This window comes from Homo sapiens, chromosome 12 (genome assembly GCF_000001405.40).
Source record: "Homo sapiens chromosome 12, GRCh38.p14 Primary Assembly".
Taxonomy (NCBI): domain Eukaryota; kingdom Metazoa; phylum Chordata; class Mammalia; order Primates; family Hominidae; genus Homo; species Homo sapiens.
The window spans coordinates 95,996,349-96,019,864 of record NC_000012.12 but is presented as its reverse complement, the minus strand read 5'-3'; the positions used below and the strand labels follow the sequence as shown (position 1 = coordinate 96,019,864).

The following is a 23,516-nucleotide window of genomic DNA, read 5'->3' as shown; positions in this document are numbered from 1 at the left end:
AATTTGGGTGGCCGAGGCAGGCGGATCATGAGGTCAGGGAATTGAGACCATCCTGGCTAACACAGTGAAACCCTGTCTCTACTAAAAATACAAAAAAAAGAAAAAATTAGCTGGGCGTGGTGGCGGGCACCTGTAGTCCCAGCTACTAGGGAGGCTGAGGCAGGAGAATGGTGTGAACCTGGGAGGTGGAGCTTGCAGTGAGCCAAGATCGTGCCACTGCACTCCAGCCTGGGTGACAGAGCGAGACTCCGTCTCAAAAAAAAAAAAAAAAAAAAAAAATAGTTTCTTATGAGTTGTGACTGGGTTTCTATAGTTGTGAAATTGAGGGATGAAATGAGACCCTCAAGAGGTCTTACAAGAGGCAATAAACTAATTGGGGACACCTTATGTCTTGGTTTTTTTCCTTTGGCCCAGCCTGTACCTCCTTAGAGAGCTGCATATCTATTGCTGCATATACAACAGCAGGTTTGCAGCTCACGCCATGTAACCTCATCCCTTTCCCATAGGCACATGGTAAATGCACTCTCACTGTAAAGGTTTGTCTACAAGACATTAACTACTTTTTAGAACCAGATGAATCATTTGCCATGAATTTCTTTTTTATTAAGCTTTTTAATCTTGCAGGCAAATTGGCCCAAGAACTTTGGTGTGGTCTGAGAAAGAGCAGGTGGAAAAGTCTGCTTATGAGTTTTCTGAGGTTGGTCATTTAGTTATCCTTTGTAATCATTGTGATAGACAGTAGATTGAAGATTTTGAGTGTGAAATGTGATGGTTTTAAGTGATACGGGGAAAGAACCAGATTGTCTTTTATGTAGATGTGTAGTTGCTACATTCTTTTTATCATTTTCATTTAACATAAAAATCATTAACTTGTAACCTTCATAGAAAGCAATATACAATTTTAAGAAATGTACAATGGTGATAATTAAGGCATACAGACATATATATGTTGATTTTTCAGACTGAATCTATGCTTAAAATAGCAGAAGATCTGGGAGGACCGTATGTATGGGGACAGTATGACCTATTGGTCCTGCCACCATCCTTCCCTTATGGTGGCATGGAGAATCCTTGCCTTACTTTTGTAACTCCTACTCTACTGGTAAGTGTAAATGTTTCTTCATTTGAAATTGACGTTTCAAAAATAAACTTAAGAACCTTAGGAGTCCTAATAATATGTATATATATGTAAAGAACCTTAGAGTCCTAATAATGTATATATGTATAAAAATCTTTTCTCTTGTTCGTGTAACCTTTGTTTCTAATTTTATTGTTTATTGTGGTTATCACAATCTCATTTTTTTTTTGTTGTTTTTTGAGACACAGGCTTGCTCTGTTGCCCAGGTTGGAGTGCAGTGGCACAATCTCAGCTCACTGCAACCTCTGCCCCCGGGTTCAAGCGATTCTCCTGCCTCAGCCTCTTGAGTAGCTGGGACTATAGGTGCACACCACCATGCCCAGCTAATTTTTGTAATTTTAGTAGAGATGGGGTTTCACTATATTGGCCAGGGTAGTCTCGATCCTCTGACCTCGTGATCCACCTGCCTTGGCCTCCCAAAGTGCTGGGATTACAGGCATGAACCACCCCACCAGGCCTCCATCTTGTTTTTGAAAGGAAAATAATCAGGCCATTTGGAGAAGGAGAATATTATGTTCACGGTATTTGGGGAGTTGGGCATGGGGGTGCTGTGTAACAACAATTCATTGATAAATTATGTATCCAGACAATCAGACTATACCAATTACACTTGGTGTGTAGGTACAATTAAAAAAAAAATCAGTACACCATGTACAGGAAAGGATTAGGGCCATAGAACGCTGCTATGTTTAATATGCCTGTGAGCTACTTTAAATTCTTCTTAGAACCAAAATGAGTGATGGATTAGCAATAAAATAAATAAAATACAGCACAGGACACATAGGACACTCTAAAGTTTTATTAAATATATTTTGGGTAATAGGAGAGAAAGAAAGTGATGGGTAAATAAGAGCAGATATAAAAATGGAAGTAGAAGAAATGTTTCATGGAAGTTAGACACAAATAGACTGGCTTTCATTGTATTGCAAAAATTCCCTAGAATTAGGGCAAGAAAGAATGATGCTAATTTTTAGTTCTGTATTTTTTTTGTTTTTTCAATTAAGGTCTCTTTTACCTTCTTTGAAGTGCTGTAGTAGAAATACAGTGGATCACCAGTGCCAGTATGCTAAGTATTTAGGTAGGCAGTCTTTTAGATAGTCTGTAATTCGATTACTAAAATACTAAGGTAATTTTCTTTTTTTGTAGGCAGGCGACAAGTCACTCTCCAATGTAAGTTAAACTTTTTCATTATGGCCTTACCTTCAAGAAGTATTACGTCAACTGATTTTAAAATATCCCTTGTATTTTTATGTTAAAGATATGGTTATAATGGACAATTTGGGGACTCTTCTCACATTATTAACAATTAGATGTAATAGATTTAAGGAAATTTTATGGTTTGATCTCTTCATATATTTATGAAATATTTTTAATGCAGTGATATATCTATTTAATATTTTCTAAGTAATTTTTGTTTTCTAATTACTTTATGCCATATTTGTGTGTGTGTGTATGTCTTTGGTTAAATTAAAGATTTTGCTGAACTGAGTAACTCCCTGAATATCTCAGCTAATATTTTTTAAAAATTGAATAACATGGAGTGTTTACAGTAGAATGGGTTATTTTAGGTTAAGATAATCAGTCTTACTATTAATCACACTGTTTTCTTTAGGTCATTGCACATGAAATATCTCATAGCTGGACAGGGAATCTAGTGACCAACAAAACTTGGGATCACTTTTGGTAAGATTTTTGTTATTATTTCTTTATTGGTTCATGTTGCTGATTTTTTTTTCCCTGCCTCCTACCACTCTGAATTGTTTTGTGTGTATCTCTTGTTTTTCTTTGTTATCATCTCTTAGGTAGGCAAGGATTTTTTTTTTTTTTGACATGGAGTCTCACTCTGTCACTCAGGCTAGAGTGCAGTGGTGCGATCTAGCTCACTGCAAGCTCTGCCTCCCAGGTTCAAGTGATTCTTCTGTCTCAGCCTCCCGAGTAGCTGGGATTACAGGCATGCGCCACCACGCCCAGCTAATTTTTTGTATTTTAGTAGAGATGGGGTTTCACCGTGTTGCCCAGGCTGGTCTCGAACTCCTGAGCTCAGGCAATCCACCCACCTTGGCCTCCCAAAGTGCTAGGATTACAGGTGTGAGCCACCATGCCCAGCTATTTTTTTTTTTTAATTGGAGACAAGGTCTCACTCTGTGGCCCAGGCTGTAGTGCAGTGGTGCAATCTCTGCTAACTGCAACTCCAGGGTTGCAATCCTCCCTCCTCAGCCTCCAAAGTGGCTGAGACTAAAGGCGCATGCCACTATGCCTGGCTAATTTTTGTATTTTTTATAGAGATGGGATTTCACCATGTCGCCCAGACTGGTCTCAAACTCCTGAGCTCAAGTGATCCGCCCACCTCGGCCTCCCAAAGTGCTGAGATTATAGGCATAAGCCGCCACGCCCAGCCAACAAGGATTTTTTTTTTTTTTTTTTTTTTGAGATGGAGTCTCACTCTGTCGCCCAGGCTGGTGTGCAGTAGTGTGATCTCTCTGCCTCTCAGTTCAAGCAATTCTTGTGCCTTAGCCTCCCGAGTATCTGGGACTACAGGTGCACGCCACCATGCTCAGCTCATTTTTGTATTTTTAGTAGAGACGGGGTTTCACCATGTTGGCCAGGCTGGTCTTGAACTCCTGACCTCAGATAATTCTCCCGCCTCGGCCTCCCAAAGTGCTAGGATTACAGGCGTGGGCCACCATGCCCGGCCAACAAGGATAGTTCTTAAAAATTCTGTAACACTTATTACAGCGTTAGGAGTGTTAGGTTCAGTCTAGGTGTTAAGTTTAATTCCTGATATACTCCCACTTTTAACATAGGGACATGCAAGAGCAGAAGCAGGGCTTAACTTTCCCTGCTGCCATCTGCTGGGCTGGGCTTCCCATTGCTCTGGATTGACTGCCTGGGAGCCAGAGTCGGCTTAGACTGTAGTGGTCATGCCTTACAACTGCTTTCCTCTGTAGAAAAGCCAAAAAGAAAATATCTTGATTGAAATGTCTTTTCTTCTCAGCTGTGTCCGTGTTTTTATTAAAATATTTTTTTTTCAGGTTAAATGAGGGACATACTGTGTACTTGGAACGCCACATTTGCGGACGATTGTTTGGTGAAAAGTTCAGACATTTTAATGCTCTGGGAGGATGGGGAGAACTACAGAATTCGGTAAAGGAGTCAAAGTTTTAAAAACCTTCATCCAAAGTTGTATAGGTGTTAAAAACTGAGTTTTTATAAAAGCGTCTTTACTGTGTAGCAACCAAAAAGTCATTTTTACAAGTGTGGAAAGTGAAGTCAATGCTGGTATAACACTGTGTTGATCCACACTGTTCACTGTTCTATGTAAGGTAGTTTTGATGACCTGGTCTAAATAGGGAGCTGTGGGACCTCACTGGGTCTTTGCTATTAATATAGCTGTTTACTATGTTTGCATCTTATTTGGTATGTCATTTTTAAGTGTTGTCTCCTGAAAGCCAAATTTGCTGACCAGGCATTAAATCATTTTTCTAGTCTTTTTATAAGAATAAAGCCTGTATTATTGAGCAAGAAACAACAGAGAATATTACTTAAGTAAGCATTCTATTAATAGACTTCCAGAAGTTTATGCCAACATATCCTAGTGTTCCAGTCTCCAAGTTTTAGATTCCCCTAAAGTTACACCACTGAGTGAAGTAATACCTCCTTATTAGCTTATTTGCGTGGTGATAGCAGTCTTTCTATATGTTTCTCCATGTTATTTCATGTCTTGCAGGTAAAGACATTTGGGGAGACACATCCTTTCACCAAACTTGTGGTTGATCTGACAGATATAGACCCTGATGTAGCTTATTCTTCAGTTCCCTATGAGAAGGGCTTTGCTTTACTTTTTTACCTTGAACAACTGCTTGGAGGACCAGGTAAGTAGTTGGTATTTTATGATTTTTTTTTTCTTTTTGAGGGTAATGTGAGAATTAGGAAGAATTGTAAACTATTGTTTTGTTCCATTTAATACTTCCAATTCATTCTGGATGTAGCTGCTGAAGAAATCTGTATTGTTTTCTGAGTTACCTCTCAACTTAAAACCATTAATAACCCCTAAGGTTTAAATTATGCTGCTTCATTTTTTAAAAAATCTCATCAGTTTTTGAAATTAGGATAATAGTGTGTATTCCCTGAAAACATTTCTATGGTACAGAAGTTTATAAGAGTAACAAGTGAGAGTCCATCAACCCCTTTCCACTCCCCAGGGGTAACCACTGTTAGCAGTTTGGTGTAAATGGCTCCAGATCATTTTCTAGGTGTAAATTAACAAGCAGACAAATAAATACATGTAATTATTTTAATTACAAAAAATGGGTCATGCTATATATTGGCTCTGCATTTGTGTTTTGTTTTGCTCGATATTTCACATACACCCTTCTGTGTCAGTACATATAAATCTGTTTCATACTTTTTAATGCCATCATACTAGTTCATGATAAAGCTATGCTGAGTTATGTACCCATCCCCCACTGATGGACATTGAGGTGTTCTCCTTGGTTGATTGACTTGGAAGGCTGTCTGTCACCTGGATCCATTCTGCCTGTCCAGTCTTATTTTTCTCCTTTCTAGTCATGTGAAGGTTATTGCTTTTAGAACTTGGGTTATGCATTCCTTTTCTGTGTCTTCATGTGTTATCCCCTTACCTATAATTAGAATTTCTCTTCTCCCTTCCACTGAATTACATATATTCTTCAAGGCCCAACTTAAGTCCCACCTCCTTTTTTGAACATTCTTTCACTCTGAAAGTCCTCGTAGATTTCCCTATTCTCTGAATGTTCTCTGTTCTCTGTGGTTAATAGTACAATGCCAAACACGCACACAAAATGTCAAATAATTACCTTTCTATGAATTGATTTCTTTTCTTTTTTACTCTTAGAGATTTTCCTAGGATTCTTAAAAGCTTATGTTGAGAAGTTTTCCTATAAGAGCATAACTACTGATGACTGGAAGGATTTCCTGTATTCCTATTTTAAAGATAAGGTTGGATTTAAAAACCTTTTCTATTTTTCATGCTCGATATATCTCTATTTATTGACTGATTAGGTTAACTTGTATTATCTAATAGTAGTATTGGTTCAGAACTTTAGGACTCAACCTCTCATTGCATATTTTTTCTATTTTAAATGTGATCTTAACCACATGAACTACCTGTAGAATTTTCCTATTTCAGAGAAGTCATCAATAGTATGGTGATGAATATAAATTTTAGAAGATAGAGTTAGATGAGGTAATGGATATATTAGCTTGACTTAGTCCACATTGAGTACATATATCAAAACATCGCATTGTGTCACATAAGTATACACAATTATGATCTATCAATTTAAAATATTAATTTTTAAAAAAGATTTAGAAATTATCTTGATATAGCAGATTAGACAAAATTATATATCTAAGGACTTACAAGTTTAAATTTTTTTTTGACAGGAAAGGGCATTCTATTGTAAACTGTGAATTCTTACTATTCATAGGTTGATGTTCTCAATCAAGTTGATTGGAATGCCTGGCTCTACTCTCCTGGACTGCCTCCCATAAAGCCCAAGTAAGTACTTGCCTGCTAATGCTTTCCTTCTCATTCTCCTAACTCCTAGAGAGCCTCAAAATATCTGAAAGAATAGTATGCCTTCCTGAAACTGTTACTAGTAAATGATGAAAGCAGAGTTCTTAGGTGTTTTGGCCTTAACCCTGAGGCCAAAAGAATAATTTCTGCAGTTTACAAATATGGTTTTTCACTTCAAGTAATTGAGTGCCTCCTTTCTGCACAAGGATGGTGAGGGATTTAGACAATAAGCTATTGTATCTTCCTTCAAACTTCTGCAATAAAAATATTTTATAAGTATTATGTTAATTACAACACTGTTATAAGTTATTATCCCCATTTCCCAAGGAGGTAAGTTAGGTTTAGCTAGGTAAAGTGTCTTGCCCTAGGTTGCACAGCTAGTGAGTAGTAAAAGTTGAGATTCAAACCCTGGCAGTCTTATTGCCTCCAATATACTGCTTTCTTCCTTCTTTTTTTTTAGAAACAGGGTCTCACTCTGTGGCTCAGCCTGGCGTGCAGTGATGTGATCTTAGCTCACTGCACCCTCTGCCTTCCAGGCTCAAGTGATCCTCCTACCTCAGCCTTACAAGTAGCTGGGACCACAGATGCGCACTACCACACCCGGCTGTTTTTGTACTTTTGCTAGAGGCAGGGTTTCACCATATTGCCCAGGCTGGTCTCGAACTCCTGAGCTCAAACAATCCACCTGCCTTTGTCTCCCAGAGTGTTGGGATTACAGGCGTGAGCCACCGTGCCCGGCCTCAATATACTGCTTTTTATACTGAACCCCCTCCTTCAATCGGACCTGAACCCTGGTCTTTCACGAGTTGTGTGAGGACACTGACCATGGCATGTTCCATGGCATGTTCTCTTGTTGCCTTTCTTTTGGATCACCAAAATTGCCTACCAGCTTCTCTTACACTAAACAGGCCAGTTTAATTGATGTTCAGGGAGCAGCAGGAGAGAAGCTAAGAAACAAGATGAGGCCTGGTCATGTTTGTTTGTAAAGCACTTTAAACAGCCAGGCCGAGAAGTGTTTGGTTGAGAAGTTACTGGGAGTTCTGAGTATGGAACAAATGTGGTCAGAGCGCCCCACTAACTGGGCAGTCCTGGTTATCATAGGCTGTGGTGGGAAACAGGAGCTCAGGTAGGGAGGGGTGATTACGATAGAATGTTTCGAATTTTGTGTTGGAAACAGGTGGCACAAATCATCAGTAAACCCTTTTAACGTCTAAAAAAGGTATCAGCAAAAATAATACTTTAGATTTTTTTCCTAGCACTTCATTAAGAAGTGCCATACATTATCTCGTTAATTTTTACAACAGCCTTGCTAGAGATTATGAGGACCTGAAGTCATACAAAGGCAGTGGAAAAGAAAGGAGTAACTGAGAGAAGAGACGTTTGGGGGCTAGAATCTATTGGCAACTGATTGGCTGTGGTGAGAAAAGAAGAAATTAAAAATGACTGAGCAGAGATGTAATAAAGATTCAGCTCAATCCAGCACACATTTATTGTCAGGCACTAATATGATGAATAAGGAACTCACAGAGCAAATATGTATGTATCAAGTAATTATAATACAATGAAAAGTATTTTTTTTAAAATATTAAGTGTTGTGGGTGAGGAAACTATTAATTTTAATGGTGATGGATTTGGACATCGTCTTGGAGATGACTTACAAAGGAGAATACAAGAAGTAAACTGTAGAACCTTAGAGGATCTTCATTTTAGAGCTAGGACAGAGGAAAGGTAGCAAAATAAATGGAAAACTAAAAAGATTTCAAAGGTTCATTGTTAAGAAAGCTGTGGGAAGAAATAATTTAAAAGTGGTACGGAGAGTGGTCAGCAGTCTGGTGTGCTGTAGAATTATGAGGAGCCTGAGAATAAAAGCATAGAATTTGGAGTTTGGAGTCTTTCAAAGACTCTAACTTCAGGGGCCTGATATAGCCAAAAGACAGTTCCAGGAAGTTTAGGAGTGGAGAAGGCTTTGCCCATTGCTTTTAAAATTGGGGAAATCTGGGTGGAAAATTAGTTCTTCAAAAGTGTTTCTTTGATATCACCGCTGCTAAGGGATCCTTTTTGGGCGTTGGTTCATTCTAGATCCCTTAAGATTGCTTTCAAGTAATACCAAAGTGCTGGAGGAACCCTGGAATCATTCGTGTGCCCGGGAATTCTGTAAAGAGAGAGTATCTTAGAAAATCTCAAACCACAGAAAATACTTTGATCCATTGCAGCACAGAATCTTGGCTTCCACGATCCTCTTTTTATAATGCTCTCATCATTTGTATATGTATTTAAATATCTGAGTCTATCCACATCTCTCCATTTCTACTACCACTGTCCAAGTTCAGTATCACATCTTCACATCCTGGAAGACTGTTCTGGCACCCAAACTGTGCACTTGTATCTGTTCTGACTTCTCCCAGCCACTCTCCACACTAAAGCTAGAGTAAACCTTTAAAAGCACAAATGTGTCATGTTGTCCTCCTGCTTAGCAGTCTCCACTGGTATCTCTTTGCTCTTGGGCTAAGACAAAATCCTTTAGTGGGGATTATAAGCTCCTAACACTCTAGCTCCCTTTGCTTCAGTCACACTGGCAGTTTTGGAGTTTCTCGAACTCCCCATATGTCCTCCAACATAGTACCTGAGCATGCTGTTTTCTCTACCCGGAGCCCTTTGCCCAGTTAATTCCAATCTCAGCTCAAGAACCACTTCCTCTTGGAAGCATTTCTTGACATCCCTGGCCAGGTCAAATCTCCCATTCTAGGGCTTTTTAGTGCTATATCCTCTCTTCGTAGCAGTTGCACAGTTCTAACTTTACATTTATTTATTCGTATGATTAAAGTATTTCCTCTTCGCTATACTGTCAGCACCATGAGAACAAGGCACATATCTGGTTTTGCTCTTTACTTTTCTGAAGACTTTGCCATAAGTAGGGTCCTTTCCCAGGCTAATTCTTAACTTAGTACTTTTAATTACACTAATAAGGAAGTTTCAGGACACGAAGAAACAGACCAGCTAAAGGTTTTCTACTTTGCTATTATTTTTTAAGAAATCAATGCTAATAATGTTTTGGTTGAAAGCAGTGTATTCTGATCAGTCAAGGACCTCTGATCCCACCTGTTCTTGAAGACAAAATGGCATGCCTGCAGTCCACAGCCTGACACTTCATGTAATAAACTGGCAGCTGCTTCGAGGTGGGAGCTGTGTTGACCTTTTTATTGTCTCCCCTAGGGAACAAACGGAGTCCCAGTCACAACTCTCTTTAAGGGAGATTCAGTGGTAACTTCTAATCAAAACTTACTTCATTTAGGCTCTAAGGGGCAGGTGCCTCTCTGTTCCCTAATACAAGCATTTCAGTACAAGCAAGCATGATTTACGGAGAAAGAGGGATGTTTTGCAAGAATTTTGCACACACTACATGTTCTTTCCCATTGTTGCAAAATATGATTTCTAAGTTGAGAACACACAAATATTGGTATAATTTGCTTAACAATTACCATGTGTTAATTTCATTTTCTTCTAAAAAGGAATGAAATCATCAGGCAATGGTATCGGGCTCTCTCAAGGGTCTAGCATCTAGAACGGTGCCAATTATGTAGCAGGTGCTTGCAGGTTTGTTAGATGATTAGATGTTTGGAACAACCAAGTAAAATCCATGACAGCAAGGACTTGATGTTGTTCATCTTGTTGTCTTGAGTGCCTAGAACTGTTCCTGCCATGTACTAAATATGCTCAACTGATTCCAACTACTTTAGCATATACTACTCGAGCACATGACAGTCTTTTGCTGAGGTGCTTTGGCATTCTTTCTAAAAGATAGATGGGTGTTTCATTAATGTGGTATCCATTTGGGTTTGTGAGTTCTTGGATGATGCCAGTAGTATGTAAGTTAGGTAAAATATTTCCTATTTTCCTCACTTTGGAGTTTGTTTTCCTTATTTAAAAGGGACTTTGAAATTTAAGTATGTACTGTAGCTTTAAAACTGCATTTCTGCAAAAGCACGTGCATTTTTAAACAATGTAATCTTTATCTTTGCAGTTATGATATGACTCTGACAAATGCTTGTATTGCCTTAAGTCAAAGATGGATTACTGTAAGTAATAATGTGTGATTTTTGATTCCTTTTTGAATTGTGCAAATATGTCTTTACTCATGAAGCAGGGAGGGTACTTTAAATCACAAACAGTTATATTTGGAAAGGCTATTTGAAAGTCAGGTTTATCTAAGGTGATATTATATCTACTCTCAATATAGAAAATTAAGGGTTTGAGACAGGGTCTTGCTCTGTTGCCCAGGCTGGACTACAGTGGCGTGATCATGGCTCATTGCAGCCTCAACCTCCTGGGCTCAGTCAGTTGTCCCACCTCAGCCTCCCGAGTAACTGGGACTACAGGCATGTGCCTCCATGCCTGGCTAATTTAAAACTTTTTATACAAACAGGGTCTGTGTTGTACAGGCTGGTCTCAAACTCCTGGTCTCCAGTGATCCTCCCACCTTAGCCTCCCAAAGTGCTGGAATTACAGGCATCAGGCATGAGCCACTGTGCCCAGCCTAGAAAATTAAGTTTTATGGGGGGAAAAATTGATGTTGAAGGCATTAATCCTGATTTTTCTTGCTTCTTAACTCTTAAAAAAAAAAAGTATGCAAAAATATTTGCATCTTACCTTTCTTCTTTTCCTTTTAAATCATTTATAAGATACTGCTTCCAATATGGCAATTTCACATACCAGGTAAATCTAAAATGATCTTGGGTGACCAGCTGCTGACTATTAGTGGTGCAAAGAATCGAAGCACTTTTGCTCTTTGTTCACTTTCTATGAAGCTTCTTAAAGAGGAGCTTCTTCATATATGTACTAAAATAGAACCCTTTACTGAAGCCAAAGTAAGGATGAGCCCTTGATAATTCTTTAATGAAAAATAACAGAAGATTTAGGAATACTTTTATTCCTATTAATTTGCAACAGATTTATCATTTTTTTACGTAATTTCAACTTTTAAGTTCAGGGGACACATGTGCAGGTTTGTTACACGTGCATATTGTGTGATGCTAAGGTTTGGGGTATGATTGATCCCATCACCCAGGTACTGAGCACAGTACCCAGTAGTTTTTCAACCCTTGCCCCACTCCTAGTAGTGCCCAGTATCTATTGTTGCCACTTTTATGTCCATGAATATACAGTCGTTTAGCTCTCACTTGTGAGAACATGCTGTATTTGGTTTTCTGTTCCTGTGTTAATTCACTTAGGATAATGGCCTCCAGCTGTGCAATCAGTTCAGCTATTGCCTTTTAAAACCTGTTTTGTGTAGTTGACAAACTTGTCATGAAGAAAAGTATAAGAGATTTCTATGGGAAACAGGATTTTTTAACAGTGTGAGTGTATTAAAATTCTCTGTTTTAGTTTGAAAAATGTATTCCAGCTTATTTGGTGCTAGTTAAAACTGCTACTAATTTCTGCTCAAATATTCCTTTGGGCCCAGCAGTTAAGGTGGATAATGATCAACTCTTCAATATTAGTAGAAACAGGCATTGTTAGGAACAGATTCAGGACACTGTATTCACTAATGCACTCTTTTCCTTATGTATTTTATTTCTCAATGATTTGTCTTAAATAGTAAATAAATGCAAAAGAATATTTATAACATATTCATATGGTGTATAAAACAATTGTGTGACCCACCACTAGCATAAGAAGTAAAATCTTAGCGGTACCTCTGTAGCATCCCTCCCCATCTTATGCCCCTCTCCACCCTCCTTGCTGACCCATCCAGGTTACCATTGTCCTGAATTTTGGTTTATCATTCTCTTGCTTTTTATGTTTTTACCACATAAATATATCCTTAATTAATATATAGTTTAGATTTGCAGGTTTTTGCACAGAAAATGAGCTGGAGCTGTAAGTTCTCATATTAAGGATAAGTTGTAAAGGGAAAAGAAGTATTGCTATTAAAGAGAGTTCTGAAGAGGGGGAAGATGCAAAATATTTATTTAAAAGGGTATATACCTATGCATTAAATTTAGTGGAAGGATATACAGAAACTACTAATATTAGTTACTGAGGAGTAGTACTTGGAGACAGGGAGCAGATCCAAAAGAATTTTTCCTTCTGTCCTATTTGATTTTTTAGTATTTGCATATATTTCTTTTAAAGTAACAAAAGCCCTAGTTTAAAAGATTATAAAAGTAGTTCTAAAAGATTTAAAAATCCTTATTTTTATAAGCTTTATTTAATATTGCTTAATCATCTTCTCAAAGATTTTTGAGAGTAAATCCAAATTTGAAAAGTGCAGACTCATTTTTATTTTTCTTAGATGGTTTCTAAGATTAAGTGGGGAAAACAGAATATGTGGGGATGGAGGAAAACATTAGTTTATGGCCTTACCAATTTATTAATGTAATATTTAAAAATATACGATTTCATTCTTTACCTTTTTGAATTGGTCTATAGATTAGTTGACATGCATACATTTTGAAATGTTTCTTTGCTTTGGAAATTTCTATACCTCGAATGGTACAATGAATGTCAACAGTTTCTTCCACTCTTCCTACCCATAATCTACTTTTTCTTAAGTAATATAGATTCTAGGAGTCATATCAGCTATTTAAATTACAGTAACTCAATCTCAGGATTATTTAAGTAACTCAGGCTTAAATTTATTTTGAATAATCTTGTTCATTCATATGGTTCTTTTTCTCAATTTTTACTTTTATGTCAGATAAACCAATAAGTATTATTAAATTGTACTTGAACAAAAATAACTAGGTAACATTTATTTCAGGCCAAAGAAGATGATTTAAATTCATTCAATGCCACAGACCTGAAGGATCTCTCTTCTCATCAATTGAATGAGTTTTTAGCACAGACGCTCCAGAGGGTAAGTACTAGCTCAAAATCTTAGAAATTAAAATGGACAGAAAGGCACAGCATTTATGTTCTACCCAACTTGGCAAAAGATTATTAATGTGGAAACTAATGGGGAAAAAATCATTTATAAAATTTATTCATTTCTTTAAAAAAGCATTGAATGCTTACTGTGTTTTATATTGTGCTAAATATGAAAATATGTAAGAAAGGATATACCTTATCTTCAAATAGCGTATAATCTAGTAGGAAGGGGAACACATGCAAAATTTAGCAATAAGCCAGGCACGGTGGCTCACATCTGTAATCCCAGCACTTTGGGAGGCCGAGGCAAGCAGATCACTTGAAGTCAGGAGTTCGAGACCAGCCTGGCCAACATGATGAAATCTCGTCTCTACTAAAAATATAAAAATTAGCCGGGCATGGTGGCAGGTGCCTGTAATCCCAGCTACTCAGGAGGCTGAGGCAGGAGAATCACTTGGACTGGGAGGCGGAGGTTGCAGTGAGCCGAGATCACACCCCTGTACTCCAGCCTGAGCAACAGAGTGAAACTCCATCTCATAAAAAAATTTTTTTAAAAACATTAGCAATAAAAGGAGGCATACTTTAGGTATCATTTGGAAAAACTTAATTAGTGAAAGACTCTTCCAACTGGGGGCATCAGAGAGGGAATTTTGGAGGAGACTTGCTTTGCACCCCCAGGGCTAGCAGGGAGGTAGAAATTGAAGGTGGAGGGAGCAGCAAGGGCTGGAATTCGTCTGCAGCATTGCTGGAGTAAACAGTAGCACTGGGTAAGGAAGTCAGTGAAGGTAACACTAGAAAAGCTGGTAGGACCAGATGTGATGACTCTCAATGCTAAGCTAAGAAATTTTAGATCTTACACTGATCAGTAGGAAAAGATTTTAAAAATCCAGCAGAAGAGTCGGGATGAAATGCTGGGTTGTAGAAAACTAATCTGGGGCCATGAAGGTTGCATGGTGGTGAAGTTACTAGTTGGGAGACTGGCAGGAGTACCGGACTTGAGGGAGTAAGTTGCGGGGAGAGGAGAGAACAGGACGTGAGAAAGAGTTTACACAGGGTGAAAGCACAGAGCTCTGTGACTGACTGGCTATAGGGGTTGACAGTAAAGAATCCAAGCAGATTTTAAGGTTTCGAATCTAGGCAATTGAAAGAATAGATGAAACCGAAAGGAGTTGCTGCATTTTGAGATAAACCAATGACTGGATTTTAAAGACTTCCATGAAAGGGAAGTCTTCAGTCTAAGGACCTTGAGAAGAAAGAAGATTTGGAGCGGAATTTTCTGTGGAATTGATGCAAAAATTAGGAATAGGATTTTGACGCAACAAAGGACCCATCAAAGAGAGAATCTATTTTTAGTGCATCGGGTCATCATGGTTTCATAAATTGCTCTACCACTGGTGGGTGGTCTAGGGCCACAGAGAGAGAGAACATGGTAGGGTGATTCTGGAATGGGTATAGCAAAACTTAGGGCAAGTCAGGGAGCCTTGGAGATGACCTTAACCAGTTGGTCTACCAGGGTAGACTTGGAGTTGCATGTGTCCATAAGGGGCTAATGGACTAAATTATTAGCGACAGGATTAGTAGTTCATGAAAGCAGAGATTGGTTAGTGAGTGTGGAGTCCTGTAAGGTAAGGAGGTCGTGGTTGGAGGGGAGAGTTATCATCTACCTAGAGGCACCTCTGCCTCTCACAGGCACTACAAACTCTCTGCTTGTCCAAACTGAACTCATCTTTTTTCTTTCCTTCACCCAAACTTGTCCTCCCTTTTAGGGTGAGTTAAGGTAGGGATAGGATGCTTATAAACCCCCTGAAATTGTATACAGAAGTTTGTATTCATGTAGTAAGTGTATTTTCCCCCTAGGGAAAGAGTCCACATTATTCATCAGATTCCCAAAGAGATCTATAATACAAACATTTAAGAACTGCTATTATGTAGGTATGCAGATAATTTAACAGGGATTTCAGAGGAAATATACAAAGATAAAGCTAGGGGGAATCAGGCAAAAATTAAGGAACTATGATTTCATCTGGAGAATGGAATTGCATTTAAGATATATAAGTTATAGAGAATAACTAGAAAAACTCTAGGAAAAGTCTGAAAGATAATATTTATACATGCTAAAAAGTCTAAGAAGAGCAATTCTCATTTAATGCTGAATACTTCACAAAGTAAATTATCCCTGTGCTCCCAGTAGAATATCCTCATCTGGAATAAGTTTGCACAGAATTTACTTAGTGTGCAATTTGTTTCTTTTATTTTTATCTGACTTATTTCTATATTATAAAATATTTAGGATTTTAATCTGGCTATGCATTTCTCTCCAGCTCCTTTCTTCCAAGGAATCCTGTTGAAATGATACGGTATACTTCTTTATTTTGCTCTTAGGCACCTCTTCCATTGGGGCACATAAAGCGAATGCAAGAGGTGTACAACTTCAATGCCATTAACAATTCTGAAATACGATTCAGGTACATCATTTTAACTTGTCTCTGTGGAAGAAAGCAGAAAACTAAACTCCTTTGAAAGATGGAGAAAGGGAATGCAGAGTATGAGACATACTTGAGTCTTGAGAATTCCTTGTCAAACTGACTGCTTCTATATAAATACTTATAGTGGTATTTAAGGAATAGTTGCAATATGTAATCTGGTAGTATTAATCTTTTTGTTAGACTTTGCTCTAAACCTCTCTTGCCTTAAAAGAAAAAAAAAAAATTAGAATGAAGGATTCCGTGGTAAATAGGCTTTCTCCACAACCAACTAAATCTACTTTGAAATGGGAATAGTTAGAAATATTTTATTCTATTATATGTTAATCTTTCTTAATTCAAATTTGTAATGTGAGGCTTAAACCAAAGTTTAATTCCTTCAGAAATTGCATGTATAAGGTATGTGAGCACCTACCTGATCTTTCTTAATTCAAATTTGTAATGTGAGGCTTAAACCAAAGTTTAATTCCTTCAGAAATTGGATTTATAAGGTATGTGAGCACCTACCTGATCCAGACCTTTAAAAATATATGATCTTTTTCAAGAACCAGCTCCTCTTCTTTCTCTTCACCAATTATTAAATTGTATATATAAGGATTTGAGAGTCTCAGAATCAAGACATACCATAAAGTGGTGTACAGTATAACTATAGTGGGGTTATTCATATCACTACAGAAGTAATATTAAGATATACCTGTCATATCCTGCCCCTTCCTCATTTTCTACTCCATGCTCCCCCCAAATCCTCCTTTTAGATGGCTGCGGCTCTGCATTCAATCCAAGTGGGAGGACGCAATTCCTTTGGCGCTAAAGATGGCAACTGAACAAGGAAGAATGAAGTTTACCCGGCCCTTATTCAAGTAAGAACCCACTCAGACCGTACTTTGAATTCATCTAAGAAACAGGAAGAAAACTGTCAAATATTTAAACGTAATCTATATGACAATATTTTTTAATTTGTTAAAGTTTATCAGTATAATTTTGGAATAGGGATTCACACTTATAAATATTTAAAATGTGAAATAATTTCATTCCTCTTTTTAGAAGCATTATATATGGATTACTATTTTGGATCAAATAGAGTTAGATACTGATAAAATAGAAATAAATCAAAGATAGCCTTATATACACAAAGATTTTTAAAGGTAACTAGAAGATAATTGGTGGGTAGGTATAGACAAGAAAGAGAGTCTGAAGTTAAATGTAAGGAGAAATAAGCAGATAAAGCTAACTCTTTTGTGTTCAAATGTTGCATAGAGGTCAAGGGTAGGTTGCTTGACATAATAAAGGAATGCTTAGTGAGAGGGGGATAAGTTGTATCTTGACAGCAAGATACAAGAATATCTCAGTCAAGGTCTTTATGAATTTTGTCCAAATTCTGGAAAAAAAAATCATGCCATAAATATCCATGATTACTTTTGTTTGCTTTTCATTTACTTCACAAGTATTTAGGTGGGTGCAAAAGTAATTGCAGTTTTGGCCATCAAAAGTGATGGCCATATAATATCATAAAACTTGGCAAAATAAGTCATTATCTCTTTTTTGATGTGACCACAAAATTAAGTTTTAAGTATATTTTATATGCTTTCCCTAATTAAAACCCATCTAGCTTTGAATTGAGTAAAGTATACTTTAAATAGGTTTTTAAATAAGAGTATACTTGGGCCGGGCGCGGTGGCTCACGCCTGTAATCCCAGCACTTTGGGAGGCCAAGGCAGGCAGATCACGAGGTCAGGAGTTTGAGACCAGCCTGGCTAACATAGTGAAACCCTGTCTGTACTAAAAATACAAAAAATTAGCCAGGTGTGGTGGTAGGCACCTGTAATCCTAGCTACTTGGGAGGCTGAGGCAGGAGAATCGCTTGAACCCGGGAGGCAGAGGTTGCAGTGAGCTGAGATTGCGCCATTGCTCTCCAGCTCCTCCAGCCCGGGTGACAGTGCGAGACTCTGTCTCAAAAAAAAAAAATGAATAAAATAAATAAGAGTATACCTTTTGTGGGAAAAATAAGTATTTCTGTTTTATGATGTTTATAGTAGTTACATTAAAAATGACTAATCCTACCTTTTGTATGGTAGGTCCTTTTTATTTAGTGTATTTATTATTTATTTCGTGTATTATTTATTATGTATTTATTATTTCACTGTGGTCAGGACTTTTATTCTCAATTATTTGAAGTTTTCAGAAATTCTATATAAATTTTAGTGTTTTCATACTCTTAAAATCTTGATTAAAAAATTTTTTTTAAAAGCAGTTTTTAAAAAGAAAGGCTTTGAGGCTCACTCTCACATACAGGGCTGATATTTAGCCAGGAGATGAGAGGACTCTGTTCAAATAATAAAATCCTTCCATGCTGCTTGGTAAATAGCCACGGGTCCCAGCCACTCTAGCCCTTCCCTGTAACTTGCTGCAAAATGTCTGATCTGCCAGTATAAAGGCCAGTCTCTGGTACAGAAGGAGGTCTCTGGGACCCTGTGGCAGGACCATACCCATCTGATTGGCTGGGACTGGTGCCTTATTTGGGTGATGCTGGCTGTCACCCCTGCTGACATCCTTTAATTTAATCTTGGGTATTGACTTGTGTTCTTATTCTCTTTCTCCTTCCTTTTTCCTTTCCTCTGAACCCCTTCCCTCCTTTCTTTCTTCTCTCCCTCCCTTTCTCCTCCTCTGTCTCCTTCTCGCCTTTCTTTCTTTTCAATTTTTTCTTTTTTGGCAGGGATCTTGCTGCCTTTGACAAATCCCATGATCAAGCTGTCCGAACCTACCAAGAGCACAAAGCAAGCATGCATCCCGTGACTGCAATGCTGGTGGGGAAAGACTTAAAAGTGGATTAAAGACCTGCGTATTGATGATTTTAGAGATTTCTCTTTTTTAAATGGAATTCGTAAAGAAATATAAAACTTCAGCTCACAATTAAAACTGTCTTTTTAGTTTTGGCTTTTTATTGTTTTGTTGGTGATTTTACTGAAATAAAGTTGAGCTACTTCTTCTTATAGTGGCATATTCTTTGTAAATTTTAACAAGGTTTAATCTTTTGATTTACAAATTAAAAAATTTTGAATTAGCTTTATATTAATTTTCTCTCAGTATGATCACAAAATATGTCAAGGTAGTATTTTACCTGATATATGATTTAAATTCATTAATTTGAATCTGCTGCAGATTCAAAAATTCAACATGGTTAGGATTTTGCTTTGCTTTTTAAATAACCTTAAACATAAGTCCGGGCGCAGTGGTTCATGCCTGTAATCCCAGCACTTTGGGAGGCCAAGGCGGGTGAATCACCTGAGGTCAGGAGTTTGAGACCAGCCTGGCCAACATGGTGAAACCCCGTCTCTACTAAAAATACAAAAATTAGCTGGGCGTGGAGGCACGACTGTAATTCCAGCTACTCAGGAGGCTGAGGGAGGATAAGCACTTTAATCTGGGAGGCAGGGGTTGTAGTGAGCCGAGATGGCGCCATTGCACTCCAGCCTGGGCAATGGAGACTCTGCCTCGAAAAATAAAAAATTAAAAAAAAACCTTAAACATGAATGCTTAGTTGTATTTGCACACCACCTACCTGGTGGACAGCAGATGAACTCCTTACCAGAATGTGTCAACCCTAGCAGGAGCTCTCAACTCCCTCCTCCTGGACCCCTCCGGCTCATCCAGTGGGCTTGTCCTGGTCTCCTGTCCATCAGGGGTCAGATGGCCACCCCAAGCACCAGTCTTTCCCATCCCTCTCACAGTCTGTTCAAAGACAACAAAATAACTTGAACCAAATAAAAGACAAACATAACAAAGCACCCCTGCCAATGCAACGTAGTGCCCCAGGGCATCTCAGCACACATAGCTGTACTAGGTAGAATTATTAGTGTATTAGCTCTATTAGTTAGAATTAATTAGAACCATAGCTGTGTTAGAATTCTTTGATTGCAAGTAACAGCAATCCAAGTGACCAGAAGTCAAAAAGGGAAAAGGAAGATTATTTTAAGGATGCTAGGTATGGGGAGATTATCAGAACCTGGGACGGACAGAAGGGGTCTGATGCCCAGGACTGCAGCACCGTCAGTGCTCCTGTCCCTCACCTCTGCCTCTCTAGTCCACGTTGTACAGGCCGGCCACTCTCCAGCTTTACTGTTACAAATAGCTCTGACCACATGGGGAGGCTATCACAATTCCAAATTCCCAGAGGTGAGACTCTAACCCAGGTTGGGTCCACCTCTGGTCAAATAAATTGTGTAAGAGGAATGGTGTCTTAGAGTATAATTGTTGGCATGGGGTGGGGGTGGGGAGCGGTGTCCTGACCAAATAACCCCTCAAAGTGCTAATGCAGTGACTAAAGTTACAATAGGAGTGAACACCCAAGGTGGGACAGGTATGGAAGAGACATATTCCTGCCTATTCCCGGAATCCTGACTTTTCCCTGGCTCTCACTCTCCCTAGCAGTTTTTGTTTTGTTTTGTTTTGAGACAGGGTCTCACTCTGTCGCCCAGGCTGGAGTGCAGTGGCATGACCATAGCTCACTGCAGCATCAGCCTCTGGGTTCAAGCCATCCTCCCACCTCAGCCTCTGGAGTAGCTGAGACTACAGGCATGCACCACCATGTCTGGCTAATTTTTGTTTTGTAGAGAAAGAGTTTGGCCATGTTGCCCAGGCTGGTCTCGAACTCCTGGGCTCAAGCAATCCACCCGCCTCGTTCTGTCCTCTTGGTCACTTATCTATGCTGCAGTGTGATTCTTTCTCCAGGCTCTGCTCTCCCTTGCCTTCCTTGCCAAGAATACAGAGAAGGGAGTTCAGCTCAAATCACTGGCATAAGATCATGTTCTAAGATTAGACTTTAGCAAATCCATTTACCCAAATACTGCTCTTTAAGGCTTCTGCCCTATGAGCTTACAAGACAAGCTGTAAGTTAATGTCGTTTTTAGTTATCACTTAGTGATACTGAAAGTGAATTGTGACAAGGGATGCTTGAAGGGTGGCATGGAAGGGTGCTGTGAAGAAGGTAGAGGGCGCTAAAGACAAACTTAATCCTGCTTGCTGGTTTACCTAGGGGCCAGCTCGGTGCAGTTCACATTTCTTCAGTTCAGCTAGTAAGCATATGCTAAATGTCTTTGTGCCAGATCGGATATATACATAATTATGGATGAACACAGACAAGTAATTTCCTAGATAATACTAAAGAAGAGCTATGCTAAGGCATCCCAGAGAAGGGCCACTTAACCCAACTGAAGAATTTAGGGAATGCTTCCTGGAGAAGAAAAGGCCTAAACAGGCTTAAGGAGTAAGAAAGATCTAGACAGGCAAAGGAAGTTGGAAAGTGCGTTTCTGGAGAAAGAATAACAAGGAAGACTCTGCTCCACAATGCGTAGGGCCTGAGTTTAGAATCCTCAAACTGCTGGGGGTGACTTACATGGCTGGGAGGTGGTATCACCTGGAAGCTCCTTCCCTCACTAGTCTGATGCCTGGGCTGAAATTACTCAGAAGCTGGTCTCGGCAGTGACAGTCAACTGGAGCATGCAGTAGTTTGGGTTGTTTTGCAGCATGAAGATAGTTAGACCTCTTATTAGTCATCTTTATACAGCTTTATCCATCACCAGACAGTAAGCCTCATGAATGTAGAGCGTGTTTGTTATTTATTTCATCCCCAGCACCTCGCATAGAGCTTGTTACATAACAGGTGTTGAAAAAATATTTGTTAAATGAGTCAAGGAATGAATGGGGGGGGGTGGGGCAGAAGGTTAAGGTGGTTCACATGTGCAGTCCTCAGTTTTCTCACAGATGTAGGAAGTAAGGTCTCCTTCTGAGAATTAGAGGTGGATGTCGAGAAGGTCCTGGCAGAGGGGTCAAAGTTTTGGAAAGTCACTGTGGGCTGGATGGAATAAAAGGGCAATACCATCAAACTATGTGATCACAGGACTTTCTCTATCAGTGTCTTCTGCCTGGGTGAACAGATATGACAGTTTCTTTTAATTTTAAACAGGGTCTTGCTCTCACCCAGGCTGGAGTACAGTGGTATAATCATAACTCATTGCAGCATTGACTGCCTAGGCTTAAGCAATCCTTCCAAGAGATGGCTGTTTTTTGTGATGACTAAGGGGATGGGTGTTATTCCAAGTGTAGACATAAGTTTAGGGATGCAAAGGAATCTCAGAGTGCTTAAGAAAGAGTGGTCCAGTGAGCGACTAGGGACCAGCTTCCTAGGATAGTAAGTGAGGATGCTGGTGGGAAGTGGAGGGATGAAGAGACTGACTGGAGGTCAGGTCCAAGGCTGGCAGTGACTAGAGTAAAAGGGCAGCTGGAAGGTTGTGGTCAGAAGGTGGAATATTGGAATTTCAGATTTCTTAAGTGTGTCAAATTCAGGTCGTGACAGATTCCAGGGTGATTTCTTAAGTGTGTCAAATTCAGGTCATGACAAATTCCAGGGTGCAGTCATGGTGTGGGTATCTGAAGAGCAAGTTTCAATAAGGCTCAAGGAAGGGTAGCTATTTGTACGCTTCCTGGGAAGCTGTCAGCAGATGAGAGGGACTCTGGGTATGAGTATAGGTGTTTTTCTTGAGCAACCATGTCTCTCTTCCCAACAGAAGTCTGATTTAGTGGAAACAGACTTTTCAGGATTTTTCTAGTGCAATAATCAAATCTCTAAAAATTGGCTTACGATGAAAGTGCTGCTTAGTCAAAATAGCATCTGCATATCTTTGATGCCGTAATCATGCTATCCAGAGTTCCTTAATACCAATGGTAATAAGGCGGGTGCAGGGAGCAGTTATCTGTGGTGAAGAAGCTTAATTGGGTGAGGGATATCCATGTGCCAAGATGAAAGAGCATTTATGGAACTTTATAGCTTTATGATTCATACAGAACATTTATAAAGCATTATAGTTACATGGAGTATTGGTGTCCAGATACTAGTAATCACAGACACTTCTATAATATTTCCACTATGCCAGGTGTTGTGTTGAGGGCTTTACATATATGAACTGACTTCATCCTCCCAATAGCCCTTTGACATATATACTATCATCATTACCATTATCTTCATTTTACAGATGAGGCAACTGAGGCCCAGAGAAGTCAAATCACTTGCCCACAAGTCATACACTTAGCAAATGGCAGAGCCAGGATTTGATCACAGGTAAATCCTGCACATACTGGAAGGAGGCAGTTAGCCCCTAGGCCTTCTGATAAGGAAATACAGGGTAATACTCACCTAATCAAGGCTAATAAGTAGTAGAGCTGGACTCTCATCCACGGCTGTCTGAGCCCCTAATCTCCAAGTCAGAGTGGTTCATTTGCCCAGATGACGACCTTTAGTTGTGAAAATGATCTCTGGCCTTTGCAGTCTTCCCTGGTGGAAAGAAAGCTTCAGAAAACCTTACTGGTGACAGGAAGTAGTTGCTCAATACATGTTTGTGGAATAAACAAATGAGTGACGATTGCCACACTCCCAGTGTCACAGTTGGCCCACAGAACACGTTTTACAGTTGAGTAA

At 39.0% G+C, this 23,516-nt stretch overlaps 1 protein-coding gene and 1 long non-coding RNA gene across 17 annotated transcripts in view, besides 5 other annotated features; one reads left to right on the top strand and one right to left on the bottom strand.

Moving 5' to 3' along the window:
• The window catches only part of LTA4H (leukotriene A4 hydrolase), a 42,768-nt gene extending 23,656 nt beyond the window's left edge, over positions 1-19,112 (top strand). For 4 of the 12 annotated variants that reach the window (NM_001256643.1, NM_001414264.1, NM_000895.3 and 1 more), the window contains 13 exons: positions 625-697; positions 962-1,102; positions 2,285-2,308; positions 2,751-2,821; positions 4,171-4,282; positions 4,866-5,010; positions 6,012-6,115; positions 6,607-6,677; positions 10,717-10,771; positions 13,456-13,551; positions 15,945-16,027; positions 16,801-16,905; positions 18,759-19,112. In NM_001256643.1, the coding sequence (NP_001243572.1) occupies positions 625-697; positions 962-1,102; positions 2,285-2,308; positions 2,751-2,821; positions 4,171-4,282; positions 4,866-5,010; positions 6,012-6,115; positions 6,607-6,677; positions 10,717-10,771; positions 13,456-13,551; positions 15,945-16,027; positions 16,801-16,905; positions 18,759-18,876 (1,198 nt within the window). In that variant the 3' untranslated portion in view covers positions 18,877-19,112. Of the gene's footprint in view, positions 1-624; positions 698-961; positions 1,103-2,284; positions 2,309-2,750; positions 2,822-4,170; positions 4,283-4,865; positions 5,011-6,011; positions 6,116-6,606; positions 6,678-7,999; positions 8,180-10,716; positions 10,772-13,455; positions 13,552-15,883; positions 16,259-16,800; positions 16,906-18,758 lie in introns of those variants that run through there. The other 8 variants (NM_001256644.1, NM_001414265.1, NR_182266.1 and 5 more) reach the window with 7 other exon arrangements.
• On the bottom strand, positions 8,161-23,383 carry LOC102723340 (uncharacterized). 5 transcript variants are annotated; one of them, XR_945236.4, is made up of 4 exons: positions 23,235-23,383; positions 21,438-21,858; positions 19,605-19,774; positions 8,161-9,904 (listed from the first exon to the last, which is right to left on the bottom strand). It is a non-coding gene; the product is annotated as an uncharacterized LOC102723340 (long non-coding RNA). The 5 variants fall into 5 exon arrangements; XR_945237.4 differs by having other exon boundaries at positions 21,438-21,534; XR_001749275.3 differs by lacking the exon at positions 21,438-21,858.
• Positions 8,482-8,651: an enhancer, noted in NCBI's record as "experimental_31174 CRE fragment used in MPRA reporter constructs". NCBI's record gives its function as "activates a minimal promoter by MPRAs in K562 erythroleukemia cells, with activity observed for both the introgressed and non-introgressed 12:96405077 variant alleles {active_cell/tissue: K562}" and the evidence as "EXISTENCE:reporter gene assay evidence [ECO:0000049][PMID:34662402]".
• Positions 9,284-9,453: an enhancer, noted in NCBI's record as "experimental_31173 CRE fragment used in MPRA reporter constructs". NCBI's record gives its function as "activates a minimal promoter by MPRAs in K562 erythroleukemia cells, with activity observed for both the introgressed and non-introgressed 12:96404275 variant alleles {active_cell/tissue: K562}" and the evidence as "EXISTENCE:reporter gene assay evidence [ECO:0000049][PMID:34662402]".
• Positions 21,114-21,173: an enhancer, noted in NCBI's record as "active region_6820". NCBI's record gives its function as "activates an Ori minimal core promoter by ATAC-STARR-seq in GM12878 lymphoblastoid cells {active_cell/tissue: GM12878}" and the evidence as "EXISTENCE:reporter gene assay evidence [ECO:0000049][PMID:35858748]".
• Positions 21,620-21,914: an enhancer, noted in NCBI's record as "tiled region #10760; HepG2 Activating DNase matched - State 7:EnhWF". NCBI's record gives its function as "activates a minimal TATA promoter and a strong SV40 promoter by Sharpr-MPRA in HepG2 cells {active_cell/tissue: HepG2}" and the evidence as "EXISTENCE:reporter gene assay evidence [ECO:0000049][PMID:27701403]".
• Positions 23,139-23,308: an enhancer, noted in NCBI's record as "experimental_31163 CRE fragment used in MPRA reporter constructs". NCBI's record gives its function as "activates a minimal promoter by MPRAs in K562 erythroleukemia cells, with activity observed for the introgressed 12:96390420 variant allele {active_cell/tissue: K562}" and the evidence as "EXISTENCE:reporter gene assay evidence [ECO:0000049][PMID:34662402]".